This window comes from Homo sapiens, chromosome 4 (assembly GCF_000001405.40).
Source record: "Homo sapiens chromosome 4, GRCh38.p14 Primary Assembly".
Taxonomy (NCBI): Eukaryota; Metazoa; Chordata; class Mammalia; order Primates; family Hominidae; genus Homo; species Homo sapiens.
In genome coordinates this window covers 107,567,666-107,590,974 of record NC_000004.12, presented here as the reverse complement: position 1 = coordinate 107,590,974, position 23,309 = coordinate 107,567,666, and the positions used below count along the sequence as shown (strand labels likewise).

General features: G+C 38.2%; 1 long non-coding RNA gene across 1 annotated transcript in view; it reads left to right on the top strand.

Moving 5' to 3' along the window:
• The first annotated feature begins 577 nt into the window (after positions 1 to 577).
• The window catches only part of LOC105377358 (uncharacterized), a 46,845-nt gene continuing 24,113 nt past the window's right edge, over positions 578 to 23,309 (top strand). Inside the window, exons 1-2 of the long non-coding RNA XR_939059.3 lie at positions 578 to 646; positions 11,906 to 11,966. This is a non-coding gene — a long non-coding RNA (uncharacterized LOC105377358). The remainder of the gene's footprint in view (positions 647 to 11,905; positions 11,967 to 23,309) is intronic.

Sequence of the window (23,309 nt, the reverse complement as noted above, 5' to 3'; positions counted from 1 at the left end):
TTGACTGAAGCTCAGCTGCTGTGATTGACTAGAACTCAGCCAGTTGTTAGAAGAGTTTATGTACTCCTAAATTAAGCTTTCAATTAGTAGTCTGTCTACCAATGTTGCAGTTTGCCACATAAGGACTCAAGTATAGAGGCAACCTCAGGCCTAAACTTAATTTAACTTAAAAGTAGAAATACCCAAACGCTCACCGATACATGAATGAATAAAGTTTGGTATAAACATGCAGTGGAATATTAATTTGTCTTAAAAAGGAATGAAATTTGGATACATGCCACCATATGTATGAAATTTGTGAACAGTACGGTAAGTGAAGTAAGCCCATCACAGAAAGACAAATATTGTATGGTTTCACTTATATGAGGTACCTAGAGTAAGCAAATGCATAGAGACAGAAAGTAGAATGCTGGTTTCCAGGGTCTTGGGGAAGGGGAGAATGGGGATTTATTGCTTTATAGTTTTTGGTACCCAGAATGTGGGACCTGAGGAAGGGTGAGTAAAATGGAGACCCAAAACCTTTTACTTTTGCTTCTGAGCCTTTTGGTCCTATGACATTCCTCTTATTTTTTTTCAGGAGAGTAATGGCACCTATCTTTCCTTTTACAATACTGGAGGTGGTCCACACCCGTCCCAGCAGCCACAGGTGGGTGCATGCATGGGATGGTTGGGTGGGACAGCTCCCTGTTCCCCCTTCCCTGCTGCCTGGGGTGCATGGCCATGTCTGCCACATGTGTGTGCAGTGTTCAACAGCTACTCAGGGCAGCAATAAGCCACAACTGCTGCCAGGGCCTTAAGGCACCCCACACGGCTGGCTGGCATTCCCTGCCATGCACCATGGAGTCTCCCAGTCCTTGGCCAGGGAGTCTCCCAGTCCTTGGCCAGGGAGTCCAGCTTTGTCCCCAGCAATTAAGCTTTTCTCCCTGGTGGAGGAATATTTACATAAGAATAAGAAGGTAAGGCCTGGGGACATATGGAACTAGCCACACCCTTAATTATGCTGGAAGGGGTCAAGCCTTGGCTGCATGTAGCATATAATCAAAACAACGTACCAGGTTTTACATTAAAGTTAAAAATTGCTAAAAGTTACCATTATGACATATAATTGAGACTACGGGAAATAGATTTACATGCAAGGTGTGTGAGAACAGTAAAATGTGTTTTTAATAAAAGGTTATAAGAAGGCTTAAAAGTGTAAATTCTTGCCTAGGGTTAAATAATTGTTTTAAATTAAGTAGGATGAAGTTAAAAGTTCAAACAAGTGATGGGAGGATTGTAAAAGTTAATCTTGCAAAAATTCCATGTGTGAACATACTGACTAAATTCAAAGGGTATTATATAGTTTTTCTGTAAATTGAGCATTAAAATAAGCACACAAGGTACTCTTAAGGCACTCAACTGCTCTTTACCAAAATTTGTAAAGGGTTATAAAAGGTTTTTGCTTTTTTAAAGTTTCTGAGTCATAATTTTGGTAAAATAAATAATTTATGTAATCTGGAATTCTGTTTCATAACATCAAATGTTTTAAACCTCTAACATATTTAACAGGCTTCTTAAAATCAAACTTCAGTTTCAAAATTGTCTTTCCTGACACCTGACTTTTCAGATGCTTCAGAAGGGCCCCTGGAGTACACAGAAAAGAGATAAACAAGATTATTTGACATGTTTCATTACATGGGATTGCCAAAATGGTGTTCAGTCTTCTTTAGGCTATATTTTGTTGAATAATACTAATATGTGTTCCAAAATTGTCTGGGGTTTCTAAAATTCTAATATCTGAGTATATGCTATCAATCATAATTGAAGTTGTTATGTTAAGTTTTTGTAAACCACAGAGATAACTAAACTTCTTTATTAATTTTGTTTCTAACTGTAACTACCCTGGACATTTTGTTATTCATAGACAATTGTCTTGTTTTAATCCTTTTCAAAATATTGTTTATAATAAGCTATAGAACTCTGAAGTTCTATAAGTTATAGCTAAGTGTGTTTAAATACAGGTTTCTGATAACTATGTAAATTGTGATATTTGAGTACAGGAAAAATGTACAGGACTCATGAAGAGCTGAATATTTATGAATATCAAGCAAAACAAGAACTAAATTGACTGAACTCAGAAAACTGAAACAATCTTTTGACTTTTGCTTGGAATATTGCTGATCCTTGTTTTGTTTTTCAGAGTCAAGAAAACTTATTTTGAACTATTTATAGCCTTTCATAATTGAGTAAGGTATACTCCTGTGAAGAAAATTTGGAGCATGTTGGTTTCTCTCTACCTGGTTCCTCTAGAATTTGGAAACTATCTGCGAATACTCTCAACCTGTGGCGATATAGTTGTTTGCATCAGTGCAATAAAATCAATTTTCTTTTGCAACAGAACACAATTGGAGAAACTGGTTGTTTTACCAAGGCTTTGACTGAAAGGATATGCTTCCCTTTAAGGAGTCAAGCTCAACTTGGAGAGCTGATAAAAGCCCCTTAAGAAAAAAAACTGGCCTCATACTCTTGTCTACAGAGTTCTTGTACAGGGTTCCTGACCTGTGGTCAGTAAAGAATGTTACTTTCTAACAGGCCCAGGAGCTCCAAGTTTATCTTGGGACCTTAAGAGGGGAGTATCACCCAACTCACAGGTATTTGAGGATACAAACCCATGGCTGGGCTCTGCTTTCAAAGATCCTATCTGAGATTCCTTGTGGAACAGAGTTCCATCAAAGCCAATCTAAAAAACCTATGTAGAAATAATTATTCTTGCTGCACTTTATGCAAATAATCAAGCCAAGTATAAGACTAAAGTCTATTTTGCAGATAACTCAGTTCTATCATGATTTTTTTTTAACAAAAATGAGGACTGGAGAGAGAGAAATGTTTCAAAACTTATACATTTGTCATTAAATTCTAAACTTAGCTGTTTTTAAGTTTTTGGCTACATTTTAGACTAACCCTGCTTGTTACTGTGACCCAACCAGCAATCTCCAACTGCAGCTCAGAAGGAACAAGAGGGATGGGTAATGTAGAAATCTGGGTTGATATTCTAGTTCTGAGTAATTATCCTGCAAATCCTGCCAGGTGATGGGAATAAATAGGATGCCCATCACCTAGAGGTTTCCTTTTTGGGAAAGTAAGACCAAGGGAACTAAGCAAAGCTAAGCACAATGCACCCAAACCTTAGCAAGCAAAATTATAGCCACTAGTTATCTGGGCATGTCAAAAGACACCCTTTTCTCTCCCTTGTTGGGGGGGCACTAAATTCCACAGTTTCACCTTAGCATTCAGCTTATGATAAGAAGTTCATGCACTGCCCCCTGAGATACATTTTTGTCCCAAACTCAATTACAAGCTTTGGGTCAAAGCCCAAGGAAAGAAAACTGGATCTGAGGGATCCAGAGGCAGGCAATAACAGAAGTTAAAAGACCCAGTGCAGGTGAGTGTGGCTGATTTCTACTGATTCAGCCAAGCTTTCCATTTCATGGATAAAGGCCGTGCTAGTATCCATGGCATAAATGAGGTCTAGGGAATTCAAAGGCTACTGACAGCAGGGGAGATAAGGCATACATGGGTAAGAGTGAATACTCTCACCCCCCAGACCCCCTTATTAACATGGGTGAAAGCCACTTTAACATCCATGGGTGGCACCCTGTTGGGGTTGCCAGGATGTAAGTATTCAAGGAAGGAGGAAAGAAAAAGGAATGCCTCACTTTTCTTCCTTCACGTACCACAAGTATTTGCTAGGAAGAGAAGGGAACCAGTGATACCTGCTCCCCTCTTTCTAGATGGGTAGCCATTCATCTTCAATCTGTATCCCTTTTGAATGCATCCTGAACCCCTGGGACTCCTTTGAAAAAAAAGTCTTATATTTTCCTTTCTCCTTTTCTATCCCCTCTTCACAGATAGGAAATTGTGTCTCTATACTACAGGACACTCCCATTGGATACATCCTCCAAACTGGGAAGAGTCAATTTCCCAAACCTTAAACTGGTCGGCTTAGGATTGGGCTCAGGGGAAGGGAACCCAGAAGGCTGACATGCTGGCAAAAGAATAAAGTTTTTCTTTTTTTCTTTTTTTTAACCAGTCGGCTTTTCGTCCCTCTCTTCCTGTGCAAACTGGTAAAAGGCATCAAGATTTTTGAGCTGTCCTTACCCCCACCTTGTTTCATTTTGATACATATTTTCTAATAGCCTGGTTTGTCTTCTGTTCTTGCCTTGAGGTCATCAAACTCCAAACGGTCATGCAACTGGAGCCTGGAACAATGGCCCCTTTTGCCAGGGACCCTTAAGAGAGGCCTCTGCAGGAGCTCTGACTGCCATTTTTCGAAAACAGCACACACCCTGTCAGCAGGAAACAGTTAAAATCAGTCTTTGTTCTTATCCTAATCCTTATCCTTATTCTAAGGGCAGTTAGATGTACTTCTTTAGAGTGGGGAATGAGACAGCCAAGTAAAAGGGCCTCCCTGGGGAATCCCCAACTGGCCTGCACACTGGGAGGATGGGGTAGGGCTTCGAGAAATTCAGGCTGTTTACAGCAGGGAGGAGCCTGGTCCCTCCGCTCCTGTTTCTATGTGGTAACCTGGGATTCAGTCTGTGATATGAGGGCCTGTTAACAGGAACCCCTCTCACCTGGCTGTGTAGTTTTTCCTTTTTCCTTTTTGCCCAATAAATTCCATCCCCCTCTCCCTTCAAATTGTCTGCAAATCTAATATTTCCTGGTCATGTGACAAGAACCCAGTTTTTCCTCCAACAATAGTTAGAGTTTCTATTTGGGATGATGAAAAAGTTCTGGAAATAGATAGTGGTGACTATTGCTTAATGACACTAGTGTACACTTAACGGTTAAAATGGTAAATTTTAAGTTACATATGTTTTATATCAATAAATCCACTGCAACTTCTGCCTTCCAGGTTCAAATGATTCTCTTGCCTCAGCTTTCCAAGTAGCTGGGACTACAGGTGCCCACCACCACGCCCAACTAATTTTTATATTTTTAGTAGATATGGCATTTCGCCATGTTTGCCAGGCTGGTCTCGAACTCCTGACCTCAGGTGATCCATAATTTAATGAATTTCAGAATTTAAAATCAGCAACTATGGTTTCGAATTCTGGCTCCTCCACTTCCTGGCTCTGTGACTTAGGCCAAGTTACTTAAGCTCTCTGTGCCTTTATTTCTTCAGCTGATCAAGAAATGATAATTCTTCGTGAAGTTTGTAGGAAGCTTTAAAGAAAGGAGGCTTTTGAAACTACAACAAATTGCACACTTAAATATAAATGCATTTTGGTAAGTCATGATTGTATAAAAGTCCTGCCCAAATTGAGCAGCAGTCTATTTTCTTAAAATTTTAAATTAATAAGAACTAATTAAAGCAAAGTAGAGAAATTAGGTAAAACATGAAGGAAAGAAATCAGCTATAATCCCACTACCCAAACTTGCTCTTAATATTTTATTGTCTTTTAAGTCTGTTTTCATGGATAGAATTTTAAAAAATATATAGTCATAGTTGTACTGTATTTATAATTGGGCCAGATAGTTTACAAATATAATTTATTTAAGCCATTTTCTCATTGTTGGATTTTAGGTTATCTTCATTTCCCAAGTGTTAATAATTTTTCAGTGAATATCATTAGGGATAAGGCTTTTAATTTTAAGTTCCAGGATACATGTGCAGAATGTGCAGGTTTTCATAGGTACATGTGTGCCATTGTGGTTTGCTGCACCTATCAACCCATCGCCTACGTATTAAGCACAGCATGCGTTAGCTATTTATCCTGATGCTCTCCCTCCCCCGACCCCCTGCCCAACAGACCCAGTGTGTTGTTGTTTTGCTGTATGTGTCCATGTGTTCTCATTGTTGTAAGTGAGAACACTTATAAGTAAGAACGTGCAGTGTTTGGTTTTCTGTTCCTGTGTTAGCTTGTTGAGGATAATGGCTTCTAAGCTCCATCCATGTCCCTGCAAAGAACATGATCTCATTCCTTTGTATGGCTGCATAGTATTTCATGATGTATATATACTACATTTTCTTTATCCAGTCTGTCACTGATGGGCAGTTAGGTTGATTCCACATCTTTGTTATTGTAAATAGTGCTGCAATAAACATACCTGTGCATATATCTTTATAGTAAAATGATTTATATTCCTTTGGGTATACCCAGTAATGGCATTGCTGGATCAAATGGTGTTTCTGGTTCTAGGTCTTTGGAATTGCCACACTGTCTTCCTCAATGGTTGAACTAGTTTACATTCCCACCAGCAGTGTAAAAGTGTTCCTATTTCTCCATAGCCTTGCCAACATCTGTTGTTTCTTGACTTTTTAATAATAGCCATTTTGACTGGCATGAGATGGTATCTTATTGTGGTTTTGATTTGCATTTCTCTAACGATCAGTGATGTTGAGCTTTTTTTCATATGTTTATTGGCTGTATATATGTCTTCTTTTGAGAAGTGTCTGTTCATGTGCTTTGCCCAATTTTTAATGAGGTTATTTTTTTCTTGTAAATTTGTTTAAGTTCTTTGTAGATTCTGGATATTAGACATTTGTCAGATGGATGGATTGCAAAATTTTTCTCTCATTCTGTAGGTTGTCTCTCTGCTCTGATGATAGTTTGTTTTTTCTGCGCAGAAGCTCTTTAGTTTAATCAGATTGCATTTGTCAATTTTTGCTTTTGTTGCAATTGCTTTTGAAGTTTTTGTCATGAAATCTTTGCCCATGCCTATGTCCTGAACAATATTGCCCAGATTTTCTTCTAGGGTTTTTATAGTTTTGGGTTTTACAGTTAAGTCTTTAATCCATCTTGAGTTAATTTTTGCATATAGTGTAAGGAAGGAATCCAGTTTCAATTTTCTGCATATGACTAGCCAGTTCTCCCAGCACCATTTATTAAAAAGGGGATCATTTCCCATTGCTTGTTTTTTTCAGGTTTGTCAAAGATCAGATGGTTGTAGATGTGCGGTTTTATTTCTGGGTTCTTTTTTCTGTTCCACTGGTCTATGTGTCTGTTTTTGTATGAGTACCCTGCTGTTTTGGTTACTGCAGCCTTGCAGTGTAGTTTGAAGTCAGGTAGCATGATGCTTCCAGATTTGTTCTTTTTGCTAAGAATTGAATTGTCTTGGTTGCACAGGCTCTTTCTTCATTCCATATGAATTTTATAGTTTTTTCTAAATCTCTGAAGAATGTCAATAATTATTTAATAAGAATAGCATCAAATCTATAAAATACTTTGGGCAGTATGGCCATTTTCATGATATTGATTCTTCCTATCCATGAGCATGTAATGTTTTTCCATTTGTTTGTGACCTCTCTGATTTCTTTGAGCAGTGGTTTGTAGTTCTCTTTGAAAAGGTCCTTCACTTCCCTTCTTAGCTGTATTCCTAGGTACTTAGTTGTCTTTGTAGCAATTGTGAATGGGAGTTCATTCACGATTTGGCTCTCTCCTTGTCTATTGTTGGTGCATAGGAATGCTTGTGATTTTTGCACGATGACTTTGTATCCTGAGACTTTGCTGAAATATCTCATCAGCTTAAGAATGATTTGGGCTAAGATGATGGGGTTTTCTAAATATATGATCATGTCATCTGCAAACAGAGACAATTTGACTTCCTCTCTTCCTATTTGAATACCATTTATTTCTTTCTCTTGCCTGACTGTACTGGCCAGAACTTCCCATTATTATGTTGAATAGAAGTGTTGAGAGAGGGTATCCTTGTCTTGTGCTGGTTTTCAAAGGGAAAGCTTCCAGCTTTTGCCCATTCAGTATAATATTGGCTGTGGACTTGTCATAAATTGCTCTTATTATTTTGAGGCTTGTTCCATCAATACCTAATTTATTGAGAGTTTTTAACATGAAGGGATGTTGAATTTTAGCAAAGGCCTTTTCTGCATTTATTGAGATAATCATGTGGTTTTTGTCTTTAGTTCTGTTTATGTGATGGATTACGTTTATTGATTTGTGTATGTAGAACCAGCCTTGCATCCCAGGGATGAAGCTGACTTGATTGTGGTAGATAAGCTTTTTGACTTACTCTCTGGATTTGGTTTGCCTGTATTTTATTGAGAATTCTTGCATCAATGTTCATCAAAGATATTGGCCTGAAGTTTTCTTTTTTTGTTGTATCTCTGCCAGGTTTTGGTATTAGGATAATGTTGGCCTCATAAAGTGAGTCAGGGAGGAGTCCCTCCTTTTCAATTGTTTGGAATAGTTTCAGAAGAAATGGTACCAGCTCCTCTTTGTGCCTCTGATGTAATTCACCTGTAAATCTGCCTAGTCCTGGGCTTTTTTTGGTTGGTAGGCTATTTATTACTGCTTAAATTTCAGAACCTGTTTTTGTTCTATTCAGGGATTCAACTTCTTCCTGGTTCAGTCTTGAGAGGGTGTACATGTGCAGGAATATCCATTTCTTCTAGATTTTCTGGTCTATTTGCATAGAGATATTTATAGTATTCTCTGATGTTTGTTTGTATTCCTATGGGGTCAGTGGTGATATCCCTTCTATCATTTTTTATTGTGTCAATTTGATTCTTCTTTCTTTTCTTCTTTATTAGTCTAGCTAGCAATCTATTTTATTAATATTTTCAAAAAACCAGCTGCTGGATTCACTGATTTTTTTGAAGGGTTTTTGTGTATCTATCTCTTTCAGTTCTGCTCTGATATTGGTTATTTTTTGTCTTCTGCTAACTTTGGGGTTTGTTTGCTCTTGGTTCTCTAGTTCTTTTAATTGTGATGTTAGGGTGTCAATTTGAGATCTTTCTAGCTTTTTGATGTGGGCATTTAGTGCTATAAATTTCCCTTTTAACACTGGTTTACCTGCATCCCAGAGATTATGGTATGTTGTCTCTTTTTTCTCATAGGTTTCAAATAACTTCTTGATTTCTGCCTTAATTTCATTATTTTCCCAAGAGTCATTCAGGAGCAGGTTGTTCAATTTCATGTAGTTGTGTGGTTTAGAGTGGGTTTCTTAATTTTGAGTTCTAATTTGACTGTGCTGTGGTCTGAGAGACTGTTTGCCATTATTTCAGTTCTTTTGCATTTGCTGAGGAGTGTTTTACTTCCAATTACGTGATAGATTTTAGAGTAAGTGCCATGTGGTGCTGAGAATGTATATTCTGTTGTTTTTGTGTGGAGAGTTCTGTAGCTATCTATCAGGTTCACTCGATCCAGAGCTGAGTTCAATTCCTGAATATCTTTCTTAATTTTCTGTCTTGATGATCTAATATTGACAATGAGGTGTTAAAGTCTCCCACTAGTAATATGTGGGAGTCTAAGTCTCTTGGTAGGTCTCTAACAACTTGTTTTATGAATCTATGTGCTCTGGTATCGGGTGCATATATATTTAGGATAGTTAGCCTCTTCTTGTTGAATTGATCCCTTTACCATTATGTAATGCCTTTCTTTGTCTTTTTTTTTTTTATCTTTGTTGGTTTAAAGGCTGTTTTTTCAGAAACTAGGATTGCAAACTCTGCTTTTTTTATGCTTTCCATTTGCTAGGTAATTTTTTTTTCATCCCTGTATTTTGAGTCTATGTGTGTCTTTGCATATGAGATGGGTCTCTTGCATACAGTACACTGATGGGTGTTGACTCTTTATCAAGCTTGCCATTCTGTGTCTTTTAATTGGGGCATTTAGACCATTTCCATTTAAGTTGTTATTGTCTTTTGTGAATTTGATCCTGTCATCATGATGCTAGCTGGTTATTTTGCAGACTTGTTGGTGTAGTTGTTTCATAGTGTCATTGGTGTTTGTACTTCAGTGAGTTTTTGTAGCAGCTAGTAATGATTTTTCCTTTCCATATTTAGTGCTTCCTTCAAGAGCTCTTGCAAGGCAGGGCTGGTGGTGACAAATTCCCTCAGCATTTGCTTGACTGAAAAGAATTATATTTCTCCTTTGCTTATGAAGCTTAGTTTGGCTGGATATGAAATTCTGGGTTGGAAATTCTTTTCTTTAGGACTGTTGAATATTGAATATTGGCCCCAAATCTCTTTTGGCTTATAGAGTTTCTGCTGGGAGGTCCACTGTTAGTCTGATGGGCTTCCCTTTGTATGTGACCTAACCTTTCTCTCTGGCTACCCTTAACATTTTTTCCTGCATTTCAACCTTGGGAAATCTGAAGATTATGTGTCTTGGGGTTGACCTTTTCATGGAGTATCTTACTGGAGCTCTCTGGATTTTCTGAATTTGCATGTTGGCCTGTCTTGCTAGGTTAAGGAAGTTCTCCTGGATGATATTCTAAAGTATGTTTCCCAACTTGGTTCTCTTCTCCCTGTTTCTTTCAGGCACCCCAATCAGTCGTAGGTTCAGTCTTTTTACCTAATTCCATAGTTCTCAGAAGTTTTGTTCATTCTTTTTCCTCCAATCTTGTCTTTCTGTCTTATTTCAGCAAGGTAGTCTTCAAGCTCTGAAATTCTTTCCTCTGCTTGCTCTATTCAGCTATTGATACTTGTGGTTGCATTGTGAAGTTCTTGTGTTGTGTTTTTTGGCTCCATTAGGTCATGTATGTTCCTCTCTAAACTTGTTATTCTGGTTAATGGCTCCTACAATGTTTTATCATGTTCTTAGCTTCTCTGCTTTGGGTTAGAACATGCTCTTTCAGCTCATTGAATTTCATTATTACCTACCTTCTGAAGCCTACTTCTGTCAGTTCATCCATCTCAGCCTCAGCCCAGTTCTGTGCCCTTGCTGGAGAGGTGTTGCAATTATTTGGAGGAGAAGAGGCACTCTGGCTTTTTGAGTTTTCAGCATTTTTTCATTGATTCTTTCTCATCTTCATGAGTTTATCTAGCTTCGATCTTTGAGGCTGCTGACCTTTGGATGGGGTTTTTGTGGAGACTTTTTTGTTGGTGCTGTTGTTGTTGCTTTCTTTTGTTTGTTTGTTTTTCTTTTAAGAGGCCCCTCTTCTGTAGGGTTGCTGCAGTTTGCTGGGGGTCCATCCTGCACCTGGAGGTGTCACTCCCGGAAGCTACAGAACAGCAAAGATGACTGCCTGCTCCTTCCTCTGGGAGCTCTGTCCCAGAGGGGCACCAAACTGATGCTAGCAGGAATGCCCCTGCATAAGGTGTCTGGTGACTTCTGTTGGTGGTGTCTCACCCAGTCAAGAGGCATGGGATCAGGGACTCACTTAATGAAGCACTCTGGCTGCCCCTTGGTAGAGGGGGTGTGCTGCACTGGGGGGAATCTCATTAGTCGGGGACAGCCCGGACCCCTCAGAGCCAACAGAGAGAAAGATTTAAGTCTACTGATTAATGGAGACGGTGGCTGCCCCTCTCCACAGGGGCTTCATCCCAGGGAGATCAGAGTTCTGTCTATAAACCCCTGGCTGGAGTTGCTGAAGTTCCCACAGGGAGGCCCCACCCAGTGAGGAGGGATGGGCCAGGGTCTGGCCTAAAAAGACAGTCTGGCCATGATCTACCACAGCTGTTGGGCTGTGGAGAATTCCTCCTGGGTCCAAACCACCCAATCTCCCTGGCACCGGCAGGGAAAACGACAGACTGGAGCTGCAGTGATGGCTGCTGCACCTCCCCCAGGAGCTCAGTCATCTTAGGCAGCTGGCAGCCACACTGATGATGGCCGCCCCTCCACCCGGGGGCTCGGTAGTCTTAGGCAGTTTCCAGCAAAGTGGCGGCCAAGAATCTACACAGCTCTGGGCTTGGGACCCAAGGCCCGGGTAGCATGGGCTCACGAGGGGATCTGATCCACAGGTTGCACAGATCCGTGGAAAAAGCATAGTTTCCCGGGTGGAGTAACACACTCACTGCCTACCTTGACTGGGGATGGGAGCTCCCCTTGCCCCATGCTGCTCCCTGGTGGGCCATAACTCGCTCTGCTTTTTCTCCGCTGTCCATATGTTGCGCTGTCTAGTCAGTCCCAACGAGAGAACCTCAGTTGCCGGTTTAGGATTAACTTGCCGTTTTCTTTCTTCTCAGTGGGAGCCTCCAACTGCAGGTGTTTCTAGGCAGCCATCTTGCCCCCGCCCCGCCTCGAGTGGTAAGACTTTTTAAAAAGAGATTATGTCTATAAGGTAGATTTGTAAAGGTGGAATTAGTGCATCAGAGTATTAGCCTTCTTAAAACAGACTCTTGACATCTAACTATATCCACAAGTTATTTTTCCCAACATTTACATTATGCAATAAAGAACATAAACAGAAAACTGTATACACATAAGCATAGTTCATTTCTCATTTATTTATTACAAAGCAAATACCAGTTTACATACATTACCATTGCTCCAGACATGCTCTTAATGCACCCTCCCAATCACTATTTCATTCTTTCCTTGCAAAGGAAACCACAATCTTGTTTTTTGGAATTTGCTTCCTTGCTTTTATTTATAGTTTTACCATTGAAGCATATATCCCTAAATACTAGAGTTTGGTTTTGTCTGCTTTTAAAACTTTATATAAATGCAGTCATACCATCTGTGTTTGTCTGAGTTCTCATGTTTGATTTTACGTTTGTAAGATTCATTTTTGTTGCACATAGCTGGCAAATTGCTCATCGGTATTTTGTTTCTGGATCATACACATTCTGTGAAACAAATGCTAACTTGTAGCTCATTCCCCATTACTTTAAATAGAAAATAAAAGTATGCTGTAGCACTCCCATTCCACCTGTTTCTTAAATGGAACTAAAGCAGTAATTATGTATATTACTTATATACACAAGCAATAGATTCTAAAATGCTTACAGTATGGCTTTCTGATCACCAAACAATAAGAGTAGTGGTTAATAAGCAATTGCTTTGCATGCAGTAATACATTGCACTTCCCTTCTTTTGGCAATCTTCAGCTTTTAAAAAAGTCTGTGTAAGGTCTGACATTTTAACAGTTGTATTTGGACTCACTGAATTTGACTACATTGTTTAATATGTTTTAATAAGATTTAGGGATATAAATACAAAACTTTCCCATGTAAACGTCAGCCAAAATAATTTGTGCTGAAAGGTGTATTTTATGAAAGCCGGGTATTAAATATCAAAAGACATTCCACCATAAAACATTAGCCAGTTAGATGCTCTGAGGGCTATGATTGTAGATGACTCATTTTAATTGTATAGTCATTAACTGATTAAATTCCGGTATTGGTATGTTTACAATCATTGGGTGGTTTGTAGGGGCAGTTATTTTACATTGCAGAGATGCAGGTGCTGTTTAATAATGGAGTTAGTTCTTTCTCTACTTTCATTTTCCTTAATCCCCAGAGCCCTTCAGCCTACTTACAAAATAGGAGCCAGTGCATCTTGAGATTTTATTACTTTTGTTCATCTTTGGGTATCTGGGGAGAATTAGCTACATAACTCTAAGGAGGAAAGATGGAACCAGGAACTGCTGCTGTATAGCATTTTGCATAGGTTTTCAGGAGTAAACCTCTATTTGACTGATGGTAGCACAGCAAACATCAACAAATCACATTTCCCAGTGTCGGTAGATTGAAATAAAGCACAAACATGTCCTGTTGGTTCTGTTTTTCTGGGGAACCCTGACTAGTACATTGACCCATGAAGACTAAAGGCTCAAACACAGGAGTTATCTGAGGTTAGTATCTGCATGTCCATGGCAAAAAGCCTCCAACCAATGTCAACAACCACCCAGTAGTTTGATAGGATGCAATATCATTATGCATGAATAAATTTCCCCAATTCATAAACTATTACAGTAACACCAAGATGATTTAAAATAGTTTTCCCTTCCACTTAATGCAATTTTTAAAAGCTTATAATAGACAGTGATTCTTCCTGTAAGGCCAGAGATCTAAGTTACTCTATGGTTTGAAACAGTGGATTATTTTAATGTAGAAGGAATAGCATTTTTTGACAGACTCTGCTAAACTACTTAAGGCTGAAGACTGTCATGTCAGGTAACTTCAACAGATGATCACAATGCCTGACATAGAATCCATGTGTTAAATCTTCCTAAAATGAATAAAAAAAGGTTATGGAGATCTACGGGCAGTGGGGGTTATGAGGCCAATGTTGCTTGATGAACCTTATCTCTAGTAGATGAAGCTACTTCCCAAGCTTGGCTGTCCAAAATGTCAAAAATATGGCCCCTAGGAATGTAAAATTTTACATATTTGGAAGGAATGGGGTGGACTTGGGGTTCTCAATTGCAAAAAAGTTGATATTACATATTTTAAGGAAACTTTCAAGAGTAACTTGGGTTAGGACTGTCTCATATGGAGTTTCCTGCTAATAGATTATGGGGGCCGGTGGGGGCGGTGTAACTCAGGGAATTTAATCTGTGTCTGTGGTCCCTTTGCTATGGTTAATGACCAGCGAACAGCTCTCCAACAATTGTCCTCAATATCCATCAGAGTCTCCCAGAATGGGGTCATTACTTTTCTATTCCCCAATACTTTCTAATTTCCCCATATCAAATATCTAACAATCTATAAGGCAGATATGAAAAGTTATTTACTAAAAGGTCAGATGTACCTCAAAAAGAGCAGTTCAGTGAAGAGGGAACCATGCCTATAACTTATTGCATTCCCCTGTGCTACATAATGCCTTATTGATTTAGGCATTTGAAAGCAGAGTAACCTAAATGGGCTTTCTTTCTCTTTCATCCCTGCTCCTCTTTCTGGGGACTTCTATGTCCAGTCCCCAAATCCTGATACGTTTTCTTTCCTCTGAGAAACTTCTACCATTGTTACAGGAGTTTGCAAACTCCAATGGCTTTGGCTTTGGTCAGGTACTCACGCATATTCTCCTTTGGTCAAACTTGGCTGGTTTTGAAAGAGAAGAGGAAGATCCCAATGGTGTGAGCAAGAGGGGACCCTGCATCAAGCCCTATGCTTTGGGGGACCCTGTTTATCACAAATATACACACAAAATGTAAAATTTTTAAAGAGTGCATGGGTACCTCCATCCATTGATTTCTGGAGCTCAATGCAATTGCAGCGTGACCTATGGCCGTAACCAACTGCCCTCCTGACTAACGCTTCAGGCCCCAGAGAAATGCTTCTCACATTGCTTTCCCACTGTCCTTGAACGAAAGGTGAGTATGTCTTCATGTCATGTGTGGTGTTGATTGTACTGCTGCCAATATTGAAGATGTAAAGTACCTCAGGAAGCAAAAAGGATTTGAATGGCAAAAGTATATAAGTAAGAGAAAAAGACAAATTAACTCATCAAACTCTTCCTCTCAGAGAGCATAAGTGCAACGGCTTCTTGCATCATGAAATATCATTTCCCAGTAGTGCTGAGAGTCCATGTTCTCTTCACGTTTCAATTTGTGGATCTAGAGATACTTACGAAAAAAGCAAAGTACTTTCCACAGTTTGTACATGGTTGCTGAGGTGCGTTTTTCAATATTACATTTCCTATCACTTACATTTTAGATATGTAGGTCTAGATGTAATACTGGTGAAGGGTGATAGCAATTCTTTGCATTGGCAACTCGATGGACAGCGAATGCCAGAATCATGAATGGTTTTGAAATGGGAAAAGTTCCCTTGTCCCCCTCACAGGGCATGTGCTGGGGGTGTGGCTTGCTTCCTCAGTGCCCCGCTGCTCAAAACCCCTAGTGGGAGCAGGTAGACAGGCAGGTTGTGGGGAGCATGAGCTCTGACCCCGCCGCAGCATCTAGGCGTGAATGTTTACAGCTCCTGAAGCCATAGTGGGCATGTTATAGTGTGCTCTTTTAGTTTTGCCGTCTGTAGATGGCTCGTGTCCTTACTGCAAAGACAGAGGGCTTTCTATATTCTGGGGTTCTTGCCTTGGTGTACAGGAAAAATCGGATCATTCGTGGGCTTAGAGAATGAGTGCAAGGCTTTCTTGAGTGGTGGAAGTAGCTCTCAGCAGATGTATGGGGGACCAGAAGGTGTGTGGAGTGGGAAGGTGGTTTTCCCCTGGAGTTGGGCTGCTCAGTGGCTGGACTCTCCTCCGACTACTCCAGCCAAATTCCCCTCGGAGTCTGTGTTGTTCCGCTGATCAATTGCCTGACGGCGTCTGTGTCTGACAGGCGTCGCTGGTGCCCGTTGGTGTGTTCTTCCACTCCTCTGCTCCTCTCCAGCCACGACGTCCAGCCACCTGTGTGCCCTTCTTCTGGTGTGTTCCTCTCAACGTCCAGCTGCTTGTATGCATGCCCAGTAGAGTCTCGGGATTTTTATAGGCACAGGATGGAGGGCATGGCGGGCCAGGGTGGTCTTGGAAAATGCAACACTTGGGCACGAAAACAGGAGTGGCTGTCCTCACGTAGGTCTGTGGGCGCAGGCCCAGGGATGGAGCCCTCGCCAGGGACACCACTCTTCTCCTCCCAGCACTTCCCTGTCCCTGTCCTTTATCAGTTTAATTTTCATAAATATATGTAATAGATTTACACATATTTTTAAAATATTAAATTAGATTTTAGTTTTCTTTACATAATTTTACTTGATATTTTGATACTTAATAGTAATATTTATTTTGCCCTTTCATTTTAATAATATGGAATATATTAGAAGAAAATCATTGTTTTTGGAAATATATATAATTTTAATTTTCTTTTTTATTTTTGGTGAAAATATATCCGCATTTTATATATAGTGAATACCATACATTTTATTTTAAATGTATTAGATCACTTTTGTCAGTAGAACAAAATTATGTAGAAGCTTTCACTCTAACAACATAATTAGTGATTTTTCTGAGTTGTAGGCAAAAAAATTTCATGAAAAATACACAATTTCTTTTATTAGTCATACGAACATCACAGACTCATCAACAGAATATCCAGATCTGCAGAATAGTAATTAAATTGTCTTTTTAAATATTTTGCCAACTTTCATTCATTTAAAAACCGTAGCTTTACATAGCCTCTTCAGTCTTGCTGTTATGAACGTATTTGTAAAAGTAGGAGGATAAAACATACTTCATTTAACAGTTAGGTTGATTTTTAACTTGAAATACTTAGATACATGGCCTTACACACCTGAGAGCTGGCCTCCTCTCAGCTAAGCTTTCGGGTGGCAAGGAGCTGGCTTAGTACTTATAGCCAGATTGTGGAATTCTCCTGTGGACCGTGGACAGTGTCACAGAACACCAATGCCAGACAAGGCTGCCCTGGGACCATGAGGGAGCAAGGCAAAAACAGGACCACTCTGGAATCATGCTCTGAGAACAAGAACATTTTTCAAGATGAGAAGTGACCAAACAAACATCCTCCTCTCCTTGTTACTATGAGAGACTGCTACTTCCTTATCAGTGCAACTTCGCCTCTACTTTCTTATAATTTTTCTAGATAAGAATCATTAAGATTCTCAAATATAAAATTCCACTCACTTCCTGAAAGCACCCAACCCCTCAGCAAAGTCTCACATCCTTAAACTCTCTTCAGAACTACTTACCCTGAGCCCAAATCCTGTAAGGCCTTTCAAGTGCCCTCTTATTGAGAAGATCCATGTCCTTCATGATAAACATTCTTCCTCCTTGCAAGAAATCAATAATTTAATCATGCTACAAGGATGTTCTTGGTGGTCTTTGGCTGAAGGGAATTGCCAATATCCTTGCTCTAGATCCTGCAAATATTAGGGGAGGTTCTGCCTGGAATGTAGATTCTGATTCCAGTTTGGCTTCTCCACCAGCTGGAGTTGTTACTGCTTCCTCACGAGTCACTGAAGGACCAAACACACACCTCTAAGGTCATTATTAATCTCATCTCAGACAGTACAAGAGGAAAGGAAATTCTTTCTGTTAAAATAACTTTAACTCTGCTCCTTTCCTAGTGAAATAATGTTGGTGTTACTTAATTATTCCTGGGAGAATGTAATAAATAATGCACCAATAATATGTTAGCCACTATTATAGTTATTGAGGATATAGCAATAAATAAAAGGACAAAAATCCCTGTGTTCATGGTGCTTATATGCTTTGGAGTGTTAGGACCCTTTCCTGTGTCTGGCTTATATTAAGAGTCTCTATATTAGATGCAAAGGGCTCTGTCTTAGTCATTTGGGATGGTAACTCCAATTGAGTGAAAAGTATTTTGATGAGCAGCCGTCATTGTCCCATCATCCTCCCCTTAGTGCTCCCCCTTACTGAAGATCGGGGAGAGGAGTTAAGTTTCAGACACACAAAGTAGAAGGCTACATTCTCTAAATGTAGATGGATACTTTGTCTTTTATAGTAGTATAGAGTTTGCTATCGGCAACGTGTATTTGTACATAAATAATTTATTAAATTAAAAAATTGCTTTCAAATTAAATATGCCCACTTTAATCTCCAGGATTTGCTGGCACTAAGGAAATCAATTTTTCTTTGTAGTTAGAAAAGATAACCTTAGTATTAGCACCAGTAATGCTATCCCAAAATCTAATATGATAAAATCCAAATGTAATTCAATGTGCCAAATTTGTATTGAATACCTTCTATGGGGAAAAATAGTGTCTTTCTTTTATAAACGTTAAAATGCTTTGCAAACATTAGTGAATATTTTCAAGATAATGTCTAGATCTGAGCTCAATAAACTTGTAGCATACCATACATATAGCTTACTATGTAGATATACATAAAACAACATTTTTAATAATGACTCATATGTGATAGTGTCTGCAATGTGGTTTCTGTTATAGCCCTAGTCCTCATCTGCTAGTAACTTTCTCCAAATTTAACTTTTTGGCTTGAAATTTTCCATGCCTGGTTTAAGCTAAAAGGTATTTTAAAAATTATTTTTTAGTTTCAGGGCAATTCTCGCTATTATATATACCTCTGCTAATTTCAATGTAGGTGAGAGAAGAAAAAAAGAGGAAATATTGGAGTATATGGATATGGTATTTGTATGTTCAACTAGAACCATAAAAAGGCCTTTATAGCCTATACCTAAGGTCATTTCATTCACCTCATTTCCTAAAGTAACTGGAGTATCACACTTGCTGTTATCTGGTATGCTTTGGTTGTTGCAGGAACTAGTCCTCTGCATGGAAACAGAAGATAGAAATATCCTTAGAGATTAGATTCCCATGGCATTGAAAGATGTGTGCTTAACTAATTATTGTGAGGAATTGGACACAATGCCCTGTTTCTGAGGCTCTTGAGATGGGAGTTCAGGCCTCCATCATGTTCTTTTCCTCCATTCCCTGCCCATGGAGCAAATGTAATATTATTTTAGAAAATTAAAGGTGGCTTTCATTGGAAAATATGGATAATTATAGCCTTTTAAGGTGTTTATATTGGAAAAGATGTCTCTCTGGATTTAGTTCTGATAGTCACATTGTCAAACGGGTCTCAGAGGTGTCCTACAGATAATTATTTTTTTCATAGAAAACATAGAAATGTAGTTGTAAGTGCACCCTTCCCTTCTTATCAAAAAGTAAAGAGTGAGAAAGCTGCCCTCATAGAGGTCTTTGGTGGCTGAGGTTTGTTGTTATATAAGCATACATGGCATTCTTGAGGAAAAAACTATTAGGGGGAGGCAGAAACAGGAATTCTTTTTAGGACCATGCAAGATAAAATGAAATAACTTTTATCTTATATTCTCGTGTGTCATAAATCTTCACCTCACACTTAAACTTGATTCCCATCTTAAGTGTCGTTAGAAAGCTATCACTTTGGAAATTCTGTTGTTTGATCTTTACCTAAAAACAAAAACAAAAAACCCATCAAGGTATCTAGAGGACCTTTAAAAAGATCACATATTAAGCATATCCTCTTTCTAAAGGCATATCTATATATGTGCAGATGCATAACTGGTTTGTGCATCTCTTTCTGTAGTTCTCCTGTGTAGACATATACATATACATCCATGTAGATGCACAGTTTCCCACAAGGAACAAAGGGAATCTCATAATGAAAAGCAACATTTTTTATGGGTCCATGCCAAGGTACCGGATCCTTGTTCTTTTCCAGTTGATTTAGCTTAATGATTCTCTGTCAGGCAAAAGCCTTTATGAATTCTGCATCATGTCCTATTCAATTACAGCAGCATGCTTGCCTCGGGTTTGCAAGGTTAAGCTTGAGATGATTTTTCCTCTAAGAATCTCTCCCATATTCAGTGACAAAATGAGATCAGTTACTGCTGGAGGAACATAATTATCAAAAAAGTTTTACTTTTTAGGACTTGTGCTTAAAAAAACTCTGCCTGGACAAGTTTTACCAACTTTGTTTAAAATCCACACCTAGTTTTTCATTTCTTTCCTCAGTTCAGTTACATATATGTCTTAGAACTGTGCTTTGAATTAGTTTTATGCTTAAGCAGACAGAATACATTGTCCACATACATGTTCCCTCTCAGCCTCATTCTTCTACAGAGAAGCATGGACAGAGCTCTGGGTTGGTCTATAAAAGCACTATCTGATAAAACTTTCTGTGATAAAATATTCTATAATCTCTTTTGCATGATATGGTGATCTCTAGCCACTGTGGCTGCTGGGCACTGAAAATGTGGCCAGTGTGACTGAGAAGTTGAATTTTGAAATATAATTTAAGTTTAATTCATTCAAATTTACATAGCTACATATGGCTAGGGGCTACTCTATTTCACACTGAGGTCTATAGGATTAAGCCCATTAAAATTTATTTAAAAATTTTAATTTATATATAATAATTGTACATCTTTATGGGGTATATGTGCTATGTTGATACATGCATACAATGTGTAATGATCAAATAAGGGTAATTGGGATATCCATCATCTCAAATATTTACCATTTATTTGCATTGTGAACATTCAAAATCCTGTCTTCTAGCTATGTTGAAATATACAATACATTATTATTAACTGTAGTCACCTTAAAACCCTATAGAACATGAAAACTTATTCCTTTTATCTAACTATAATTTTATACCCATTAACCAGTCTCTCTCTAGCTCTACCCTCTCAGGCTCTGGTAACTATTATATTACTCTACTCTCTATTTCTATGTGATCAACTCTTTCAGCTTCCACATATGAGTGAGAACATGTGGCATTTGTCTTTCTGTGCTTGACATATTTCCCTACATAATGTCCTCCAGTTTCATCCATGTTTCTGTGAATGACAGAATTTTTTTCTGTTTTATGGCTAAATTATATTTCATTATGTATATATACCACATTTTCTTTATCCATTCATTTGTTGATGGACACTTAGGATGATTCCATATCTTGGCTATTGTGAATAGAGCTGCAATACACATGGGAGTGCAGAGATCTCTTTGACTTATTGATTTCCTTTACTTTTGACATATGCCAGTAGTGGGATTTCTGGGTCATATAGCAGTTCTCCTTGTAGTTTCTTGAGGAAACTCCATACAGTTTTACATAGTTTCTGCACTAATATACATTAACAGTGTAGGAGTGTTTCCCTTTCTGCACATCTTCATTATTTTTTTGTTGCTGTCTTTTTGATAATAGCTATTTTAACTTGGGTGAGATTATATCTCATTGTGGTTTTTATTTTCATTTTCCTGATGGTTAGTTATGTTGAGCATATTTTCATATACATGCTGCCCATTTGTATGTCTTCTTTAGAGAAATGTCTATTCAGATCATTGTCTCATTTAAAAAATCACTTTTTTTTTTTTTGCTGTTGAGTTGTTTGAGTTTCTTATATAGTCTGATCATCACATCTCCCCTGCTAGGTAAGGATGATTTCTTTATATTAGTATATTCTGGATATTAATCCTTTGCTGGATGTATAGATTGCAAATATTTTCTCCCATTATGTAGATTGTCTCTTTCCTCTATTGATAGTTTCCTTTGCTGTCCAGAAGCATTTGAATTCAATATACTCCCATTTGTCTCTTTTTGCCTTTGTTGTGTGTGCTTTTGAGGACATACTAAAAAAAAAATCTCTTCCCAGACCAATTGTGAAGCATTTCCCATTTTCTTCTAGTAGTGTTATAGTTCCAGATCTTAGATTTAAATATTTAATCCATTTTAAGTTGATTTTTGTATATGGTGAAAGATAGGGGTCTAGTTCCATTCTTCTGCATATGGATATCCAGTTTTCCCAGCACTGCTGAGTGAAGAGACTGTTCTTTCTCCAACATATGTTCTTGGCTCCTTTGTTGAAAATCAGTTAGCAGTAAATGTGTGGATTTATTTCTTCATTTTCTATTCTGTTCCATTGGTCTATGTGTCTACTTTTATACCAGCACCATGCTGATTTGATTACTATAGCTTTGTAGTATATTTTGAAGTCATGTAGTGTGATGCCTCCAGCTTTATTCTTTTTGCTTAGGATTGCTTGGCTATTCAAGTTCTGTACAAATTTTAGGATTTGTTTCTATTTCTGTGAAGAGCATCATTGGTGTTTTAATAGTAATTGCATTGAATCTGTAGATTGCTTTGGGTGGTATGGATATTTTAGCAATATTAATTGTTGCAATCTATGAACATAGGATTTTAAAAAAAATTTTTGGTGTCCTCTTCAATTTTTTTCATCAATGTTTTACAGTTTTCATTGTGGAAATCTTTCACCTCTTTGGTTACATTTATTCCTAAGCATTTTATTTATTTTATAGCTACCATAAATGGGATTGCTTTCTCGATTTCTTTTTCAGATTGTTCACTACTGGCATGTAAAACTGCTACTGATTTTGTATGCTGATTTTGTATCCTGCAACTTTACTGAATTCATTTATAAGTTCTAGTAGTTTTTTGGTGGACTCTTTGGGCTTTTCTAAATATAAGATTATGTCATCCGGAAACAGCAGCAATTTGACTTCCTTTCCAATTTGAATGACTTTTTTTTTTTTTTCTCTTGCCTAATTGCTCTGACTAGGACTTCAAGAACTATATTGAATAAAAGTGGTGAAAGTGGGCAGCCTTATTTGTTCCACATCTTAGCAGAAGGGCTTTCAGCTTTTCACAATTTAGTATCATGTTAGTTGTGGGCCTGTCATATATAGCCTTTATTGTTTTGAAGTATGTTCCTTCTATGCCTAATTTGTTGATAGTTTTTGTCATGAAGAGATGTTGACTTTTTAACAAATACATTTCTGCATCTACTGTGGTTCTCATATGGTTTTTGTCCTTTACTCTGTTGATGAGATCTATGTTTATTAATTTGTATATGTTAAACCACCCCCACATTCCTACGATAAATCCTCCTTGACCTTATCATGGTTTATCATCCTTTTGATGTGCTGTTGGATCCACTTTGCTAGGATTTTGTTGAGGATTTTTGCATCTATGTTTATCATGAATATTGGCCTATAGTTTTCTTTTTTTGTTGTGTTTTTGTCTTCTTTTGATATTATGGTAATGTTGGCCTTGTAGTATAAGTTAGAATAAATTCTCTCCCCTTCAATTTTTTTTGGAATAGTTTGAGAAGAATTGGTACTAGTTCTTCATTAAGGGAAGTTTGGTAGAATTCAGCGTGAAACTAGCTGTTCCTGGGCTTTTCATTGTTGTGAGATTTTTTTTATTCCT